Source organism: Homo sapiens, chromosome 14, assembly GCF_000001405.40.
Source record: "Homo sapiens chromosome 14, GRCh38.p14 Primary Assembly".
Lineage (NCBI taxonomy): Eukaryota > Metazoa > Chordata > Mammalia > Primates > Hominidae > Homo > Homo sapiens.
Genome location: NC_000014.9, coordinates 95642805 through 95652096, shown reverse-complemented (window position 1 = coordinate 95652096; position 9292 = coordinate 95642805). Strand labels below are relative to the sequence as shown.

The following is a 9292-nucleotide window of genomic DNA, read 5'->3' as shown; positions in this document are numbered from 1 at the left end:
CTGGGATAGAATGTTAAACACATTCTTAAATTGGAAAGGAAATGAAAACAAGCTGTAGAGAAAAGAAAACAAGGTGGAGGCAGGGGAACAACCTATAATTAATTATAGGTTGTAACTCATAAACCAGCCTTGCATAGAAAATGTTAAACAAGAAAGTTAAAACAAGAAAAGTTATACAAGAAAATGTTCTACAAGGTTACTAAATGTCTTTGCTTTCTGCCTATGTAAGCAAGACTTTAACTTTTAACTTCAGGGCCCTGGCCCCATTTTCCTAGAGTCTGTGTTTCTCAGATGGCCATTCCCAGCTTTTGGCTTGAATAAACTCTTTAAAACTGGATTCTGGGCTGGGTGCAGCGGCTCACGCCTGTAATCCCAGCACTTTGAGAAGCTGAGACAGGAGAAATCACTTAAGCCCAGGAGTTCGAAACCAGCCTGGTCAATAAAGTGAGACCGATTAAAGAGAAGTAAACTTAAAAACGAACAAAAACAACTTTGTTTTTAAAACTTAAAAACTTAAAAACAACGAAAACCCTGGATTCTGATCCTTTCAATTACTTTATATTGACAATTCTACTATGGGTGCTGCCCAATCAGCCTTGTAAAGCACAGGGCTGACCACTTCAACTCCCTGCTGAGGGTTGAATCTGGAATAAAATCCAGATTCCAGAGCTACGGTGCCCTTAGATCTGGGGCTGTTGCTTTTGTACTTCTGTTTTTCCACTTTACTTAGCTGAAGCACAATCCCTACAGCAAGCTAAGAAAGGAAAAGGTCCATTCCAAAACCCTTCGCTCCCTAGACCACTGCTCTGTGTGCAGACAACGAAAACAGCCGAGAGTTCACACAAAAGGGAAGGACTAACTGCCCGGGGCAGGCTTCAAGGAATGCCTGTTAAGCCCCAGGGAGGAAGTGGCTGTTGACTTGGGAAGAGTCCGTTGGGTAGTCAAGGGCTAAGGTGGTGGTTGACATGAAGGCAAATTTTCCATGCCCTGGTGAGAAGTTGGAATCCTTGCTGTGAACGTTGGGTAGTACAGTTTGCAGGACCATTTGCTTGGCTATTGGGTCCCACCTGTTGACAGGTGCCAAGCCTGATTTTCCTTGGCCTTCCCTCCTGATTTAGCTGAACACCAACCTTCTCAACACAACCCCGAAGTACACCTTGCTCAGTTTTTAACAGAGCTGCTAGATTTCAAGGCATGATTCTCAGCACTGTGTCCGGAATTGGTGGGTTCTTGGTCTCACTGACTTCAAGAATGAAGCCGTGGACCCTCGCGGTGAGTGTTACAGCTCTTAAGGTGGCGTGTCTGGAGTCTGTCCCTTCTGATGTTCAGATGTGTTCGGAGTTTCTTCCTTCTGGTGGGTTCGTGGTCTCGCTGGCTCAGGAGTGAAGCTGCAGACCTTCGCGGTGAGTGGTACAGCTCTTAAGGTAGCGTGTCTGGAGTTGTTCATTCCTCCCGGTGGGCTCGTGGTCTTGCTGGGCTCAGGAGTGAAGCTGCAGATCTTCGCGGTGAGTGTTACAGCTCATAAAAGCAGCGTGGACCCAAAGAGTGAGCAGTAGCAAGATTTATTGCAAAGAGCAAAAGAACAAAGCTTCCACAGTGTGGAAGGGGACCCGAGCGGGTTGCCAATGCTGGCTCGGGCAGCCTGCTTTTATTCTCTTATCTGGCCCCACCCACATCCTGCTGATTGGTATAGGGATAAGCAAGTACCTAGCCACCACCATCTTTGCTCCCAGCGTGGCTCACCTGCCTAGCTCAAACCTTCATGGAGCTGTGATCTGTACCCCAGGATACAAACAAAAGTGGGCACCATCCCATGGTCCATATCAAATTCATGACCAGCTCCCAGAGGACCCTCCTGCTGCCATGCTGATCCTCAGGCTGCAGACCTGCTTGACTCTTCACACCTGGCTACTACTGCACTCCAGGATTCTCAATATGACCCCTCCATCCACCCAGCTGCCAGGACCAGAAACCCTGGCCATGCAGTAAGAATTCACTCAACAAACACTGAGCCCCAACTCTGGTCAGGCACTGGGGACAAATCAGATGTGGCTCTACCCTGCTGCAGCTTGCAGTGTGACTGGGAGTGATGACGGTCCCTAGCCTCAGCCTGTCACCTTGCATCCGTCAGTCCCACATCAGCCCGTTTACCTCAGGCTCAGATTGTCCATCGCAGGGACCATGCAGCTCAGTGTTGGCCCTGCCTCTGGGCTTGCCCCTCCAGCTCCCCCTTCACTCTGCTTCCAGAGATACATTGCCCATTCTAATTTAATTTTACCTCTTCCCAAATAAAACTCCTCAGTAGATGCCAATTGTTTTTAGGATAAAATTAACCACCTTGTTTTGGCACCCACAGGACTGCATGACCCTCATGCCAGGCCCCCAGCTCAGACATGTTGGTTCAGATGGAGCACCTGGCAGTTCCTTGAATGGGTCACACCCATCACACCTCACACTGCTGCCATGCTGGCCTTGTGCCATGAATGTCCCGCCTCCTCCTGCATGGTGCCTTGGTCAGATAGGCTTCGACTTGTCTCCCATATTTCAGAAAGTCTTCCCTGCCCCTCCAAACCAGGCTCCATGCCCTCTGGTTCCCCATAGCGCCCAAGCCACGCTCTGCAACAGCACACATCGTACTGAATGGTAAATATTTACAGTCTGTCTTCTACACTAGACCATGAGGGCCTTGAGGACGAAGACAATAAAGCCATTCATTTCTGCATCATCAGAAACTAGCCCAGCACTCAGTATATATGTACCTGGTGAATATTTACTATATGAATGAATGTAATGATTAAGTAATGTGTCTAGACTTCATGTTTGGCCCACCGGCACTAATAATACCTCCTTAATCTTTCTCTTCTGACACTCAACTTATGACCCCCTGACTTGGATTCCCATTAAGGACTGAAAGTTTGTGTTTCCCCCCAATTCCTAGGTTGACACCCTGACTTCCAATGTGACTGTGTTTGGAGGTAGCACCCTCAAAGGTAGACAGCAGCAGTTTATTGATCCTGGGCCACTTTCCAGAGACCACTCTCCTAGGACAGACCATTGAACTCTTATGGGTCCTCCTGGGACCAGTCACAGCAATTTGGATTTATCTACCCCAGAAGGTAAATGGGTCAAAACAACACATTAATTAGATTAACTCCAAGGCAAAATTCTGTCTCTTTTTTTAACTTTTTATTGAGAAATAATGGTAGATTTGCATACAGTTGGAAGAAATAATATGAGAGATTCCATATATTCTTCATTCACTTTTCTCCTATGGTTCTCCTTGGTTTCATCATAACCAAGAAAGCCCTGGTTGATAATCCACTGTATTCAGATATGACCCATCTTATTAGATATGATCCACTGTATCAGATTTCCCTTTACATGCACTTATTTGTGTGTGTGCGTGTGTACGTGCACATTTAGTTATATGCAATATATCACATGCACAGATTCATGTAATCACCACCACAATCAAGATACAAAACAGTTCCATCAAAGGGACCCCTCAAGCCACCCTTCTATTGCCAGAGCCACCTCCTCCCCACTCGCCTGGCAAGTACTAATCTAGTCACCATTTCTATACTTCTGTTCTTTCAAGATTGCCATCAAAATGCAATCATACAGTATATAACATTTTCGAATTGACATTATCCACTCAGCATAATTATCTGGAAATTCATCCAAATTGTTGTATCTGTTAAGAGTTCACTCCTCATTATCAATGAATAGTATTCCATGGTATGCACATACAACAGTTTAACCATTCACCTGTGCAAGGAAATTTGAATGGCTTCCAGTCTCGATTTTGAATACAGTTGCTAGGAACATTTGGGTACAGGTTTTGTGTGAACATCAGTTTTTATTTCTGGGTTTATGGTAGTTGCATGTTTACTTTTACAAGAAACTGCCAAGCTGTTTTCCAAAGTGGCTGTACCATTTTATACTCCCACCAGCAACGTGGGAGAGATCTAGTTTTTCCACATTCTTGCCAGCATTTGGTGTCTTCATTATTTTGTATTCTAGCCATTCTGATAGGTGTATAGGGGTATCTCGTGATTTTAATTTGCACTCATTTAATGGCTAATGAGGTTGGACATGTTTTCATATGGTTATTTACCATCTCTATATCCTCTTTGGTGAAATGTCTGTTCACATTTTTTCCTCATTTTCTAAGTAGATTGGTTTTTTACTGTTGAGCTTTGAGCATTCTTTGTATATTCTAGCAACTAGGAATATGGGCTCTATCTGGAAGGAATTCTGATGGATATAGTTACTTAGCTATTACATCACTTTATATACAGAGTTTGGCAACCAAATTTTCAAATCAGGAATCCAGGGAAGAAGAAAACAATGAGTAAGAGAAGTCCTCAGTGTGGAAATTTTGAGAATGGCTTACAATGTCTCAGTATCTCAGACTGCTGGCTTCTGAGGAGCCCCACTAAGACCCTGCTGTCCCCATGTGGGCCTGTCTGGGGCAGGCAGCCTGATTCTTATCCATCAGGTATCAACATCCTCAGTGACATGGGGCAGACATCCCTGACACCATTGCCAATCAAAGCCCATTACCAGCCCTGCTGTCCCACCCGCCATCACTGTCTTTCTTGTGCAGGTAGCTGGCATGGGAGACACAGAACAATTTATGAGCCACAGCCTCAGGGCTTGGTTTGGCCAACAGAATCAGAAATCCAGCTTGAAGGCTGCTGCTATATTTCACCCTTCCACTTCCCTTTGAACACGTTTCAGAGCTATTGATCTTAAAAGTAGAAGATTAGTCACTTCAAAATGAGGCTCAGAGAGTGTGCTACAGAGGAGAGCTGTTCTGAGGATTACAGGCAGCTGCCCCTCCTCCTTCTACTCCTCCACTCCAGCATCCTCATCTAGGCCCCTGGGGCAGGTCTCCCAACTGGAAACTCCTCAACGGTGAGGGCAGGACAATTAAAAGAAGCCAAGCATGTAAAATGCCACAGTAGATGATCAATAAATGTTGGACAAGAATCTAAGCATGCTGGCACAGGGGCAGCAACAGGGAGCTACCACGCCTGAGATCCTGTCTCCCAGAGGCCTCCTGGTCTATGTATCACAATCCAGAGTCAACTTTCAACCTTGCATTCATAGAAACTGAATTTTCCAGTTCTCAGTAGATGTCCACTAACCTAGCCCACAGGAGTGAAGCAAGAAGCAGAAGGCCAGTTTATTAATTTATTAAAACAATGCAAGGTGTAACTCTTTAGGGACCAGAGCAGCCCAAGTCTATGTGAGACTGCCTTCTCCACTGTCAGCAGATTGGCAGGGAGCCTGGCATGGCTTAACGAACAAGAGGCAAAGCCTGAGAAGCCAGTTTGGACCCAGGCATCAAACATGGCAGCCCAGGCTCTTAACTGCTGTGCTATGCTCCCTCCAGCAGGTTCCAACCGAAACTAACTTGGGGCCTGTCCACCCACAGCCGCCTGTGTCTGTTTCTTGTTTTCCCAGGGAGGCCATTCGCCCAATCTCAGACGGATCTCAAAACTTCACCCAAATTAGGGGCTTCACCAAAATCGCCCCCAGGAAGGGAAAATCTGTCTTCCCAGTACTTCAGGCTCTCTTGTCAGAGCGTTGGTCTGAGCTGGCTACTCTCAGCCTACAGAAAAAACGAGCATCCCAGCTGGGCGCGGTGGCTCACGCCTGTAATCCCAGACCATCCTGGCTAACACGGTGAAACCCCGTCTCTACTAAAAAAACAAAAAAATTAGCCGTGCGTGGTGGTGGGTGCCTGTGGTCCCACCTACTTGGGAGGCTGAGGCAGGAGCATGGCGTGAACCCGGGAGGTGGAGGTTGCCGTGAGCTGAGATCGCGCCACTGCACCCCAGCCTGGGCGACAGAGTGAGGAGACTCGTCTCAAAACAAAAACAAAAACAAAACAAAACAAAAAGAGCATCCCCAGATATGCTGGATCTGTTTAGCTCTTCTGTTTGCAAGCAACAAATATTAAATAGCTCAACCCAAATGGCCATAAGCAAAAACGAAAATATGTTCATATAATGGGAAAGTCTAGGGGGAGGGGAAGGGGTAGGCCCCGCTGGATTCAGGGCTCAACCTGTGGGGCCAGAACTGGGAAGGTGGCTGCCTCAGTGACACCATCTTTTGTTCACAACCAGAAGATTGGAGAGGGGACAATCGGCTTCCTCAACGACCAAAACAAGTCTAGGACTGGGGCTCTTTGGCTCTGCAGCCAGAGCTGGTTCACGTGCTCATCCCTGAGCCAATCACTATCATCAGAGGGGGACCTGAGGCTCTGATTGGCCAGGCCTGAGTTGCATGCTCCCAGAAGCAGGGAGGAGTTCACCCTCATTAGAAGCAAATTGTGACGACTTTCAAAGGAAATCGGGGCTAGCCATGACTAGCCATGGCTGAGTGGATGCTGATTAGCTCCAAACCACAAATGTTCACCCCCGCCATGCTCTGTGCTCACCTCTGCACTTGAACTCACCCCAATGCCCACACCTGGAACGACCTCGTGTTCATCCCACCACTACTCCATCCTACACTCCTGTTCACTAAAAAACCCAGAGCCTGCCTCCACCAACCAGCCTTCCCTGATTATCTCAGCCCACACATACCCTTCCTCGGCACTCTGAAGCCACTTACTGTCCACAAAGCTCACAGGGCACCTAGCACGGCTGCCTGGTCAAGCTCTTTGTCTTTTGGGGTGCATGTATTCTCTCCAATACAGTTCTCTAGGGCTAAGGTATATAAATTTTTTCTTTAAAGAATTGGATCGTAAATATTTTAGGCTTTGTGGGCCATACAGTCTCTGTAGCAACCACTCAACTCTGCCATTAGAGCACAAAAGTAACCACATACATGTAAATGAATGAGGATGGCTGTGTTCCAATAAAACTTTATTTGCAAAAACAGGTGGTGGGCTGGGTTTAGCCCAAGTACTGTGGTTTGTCAACCCTTGCTCTAGGGCTTTAAGGACTGGACCTTGCCTTCTTGATTTTTGCATGTCCCGTTCAAGCCAGCACAGCACTTCACACACAGGGACCGACAGTAATCAAAGCTGACTGGACAACATTGAATTATATTATTTTAGTTTCCTTCTTTTAAAAGAAACAGTAGAAAGCTGTGAAGACTATAGCCAAATAGGAATGAGTGCGTGTTCCTGCTTCACACCAAGAATGAGATGCAGGATATGCTGGGAATTTCTCTGTCCAGACTCTTCCAGAATTCAGAAACAACCAGAGCAACTGGTAAAAGATACTCCTCTCTGGGGCACACCTATCATAAATAAATGTAAAAGCATGCATGTCTGTGGGTGTTTTTAGTGTGTGTGTGCATGTGTGTGTACATGTGTCTGCATATATGTGTGAATGCATGTGTGTAGCATCAGCACACCACCAACAGGCATCCACGTTGCTGGCATCCACGATGCCAGCCCCATCATCCTGCTGAATCCACTTCCTCCTCAAAGACCCTGCCAAGACTGTCCCATAGCGTGCATCTCTGTGACTATCTCTGGGAATAGAGATGGTTCAAGCCTGGGCCATTCTGTGATTCCACGCTAGGCATTTTGGGACCCCTTTGTTCTGTCTGGAGGGCCATGAGCTAGAGAAGTCATGTGGAGGGCCATGAGCTAGAGGAAAAGTGAGTGTTTTTAATGAGAGTATTGCTCCCTCTTGGTCTTAAAGAGCCAATTGTGTCTTTGAGCTGAAAGCCGTGGGAAGGAGCACAGGAAAGAGAATGAATGGACTTGGGTTCTGAAAACCATCTTTCCTGCTGCTGGGAGGGGTTGATGGGCCCTCTTGGGGTTCCCCACTTCTATTGAGCCCCAGATGTCCTCCCTTTTATGCCTCCTGCTTTCCTGCCTTACTGGGCTTTGTGATAGCATCTGAGCTCTACCACGTATTTACCGTGGGATCCTGGAGAAGGTGTGTTGTCTCACTGAGTCTCAACCACTCATCTGCACATTAGGAATCAAATCTATTTCTTAGGACAGTTGTGAGAATGGAAGATGATGCATGTGAAGTTCCTGAGACACAATTTACTCTCAGAAATGGCAGCCAGCATGAATATTAATAATTCTACTTATTATTATTAGCAATTACCTAAAATGCTTCATGATCTTCAGCTGTGTTCATGTGGCCTCATTCTCCTAGAGGGCCCTCCAATCCATCCCCACTCCATGGTGCCCACTTCTTCACAAAGGGACAAAAGCATTTCCCTAGCCATTCTTCATAAATACCGCTAACTCTTTCATACAACCTTCATGAGTCTTCTGACTCAAACCATAGTGGAGGCCTTGTCTTGTTCTGAGAAGCCATATGGCAAGGTGGAAAAAGAACCCAGGAACGGTTGTTCAACCTGGGCATAAGGCAGGGCTCTCCAGAGAAAGAGAACCGTTGGGATATACATGAGGAGATTTATTATGGGAATTGGCTCTTGAGACTATAGAGTCTGAGAAGCCCCATGACCTGTTTTCTGCAAGCTGGAGAACCAGGAATGTTAGTGGTGTAATTTTGTCCAAGTCTAAAGGCCTGACAATTGAGATAGGGTTGGGGGACAGCTGCTATAAGTTACTGGGTTCAAACAACCCAGAACTAAGCTCTCTAATGTACAAGGGCAGAAGGAGATGGATGTCCCAGTCAGAGAAAGGAGAGAGAATTCGACTTTCCTCTGTGTTTTTGTTCAATCTGGGCTCTCAGTGGATTGGATGATGCCCACTTACTTGGTGAGAACAGGTCTTCTTTACTCAGTCTACCCATGCAAATGCTAATCTCTTCCAGAAACACTCTTACAGACACACCCAGAAAGAGTGCTTTACCAGCTATCTGGGCATCACTTTGCACAGTCAAGTTGACACATACAATGAAGAGTTACAACCCGAGTTCAAATTCTTGCTCTGTTGCTCGCTACCTGGATACCTAGGACAACCCTCAACCTCTCTGAGCCTCGCTTCTGCAAAAATGCAGTTGACTCTTGACTCTATGGGGTCACTGTGAGGAACTGTTAAGGTGACAGTGCATGGTACGTTGGAGGAGCTCCAAAAATAAAGGCTCATGTTCAATAAATGCTGTCAACCCACAAAGACATTTCTTACACCTGCAATACGAACTTGATTTCCACAAATAATACAATATTTTTCTTTGTCTACGTTTTTTCCTAAGGAACCACCCAATGGCACAGAAAATGAATTCCCACTTTCACCTTCCTGGTGGCTTGGACAACTCTCTGTCCTTCAGTGTCCTTGCTACATTCTCCCTCTCCCATTTGTGCTGTCATCAGCTCCATCAGAGCAGGAGAAAGAGGCAGG

At 46.4% G+C, this 9292-nt stretch overlaps 1 annotated feature.

Moving 5' to 3' along the window:
• Window positions 6480-6539: an enhancer, noted in NCBI's record as "active region_8967". NCBI's record gives its function as "activates an Ori minimal core promoter by ATAC-STARR-seq in GM12878 lymphoblastoid cells {active_cell/tissue: GM12878}" and the evidence as "EXISTENCE:reporter gene assay evidence [ECO:0000049][PMID:35858748]".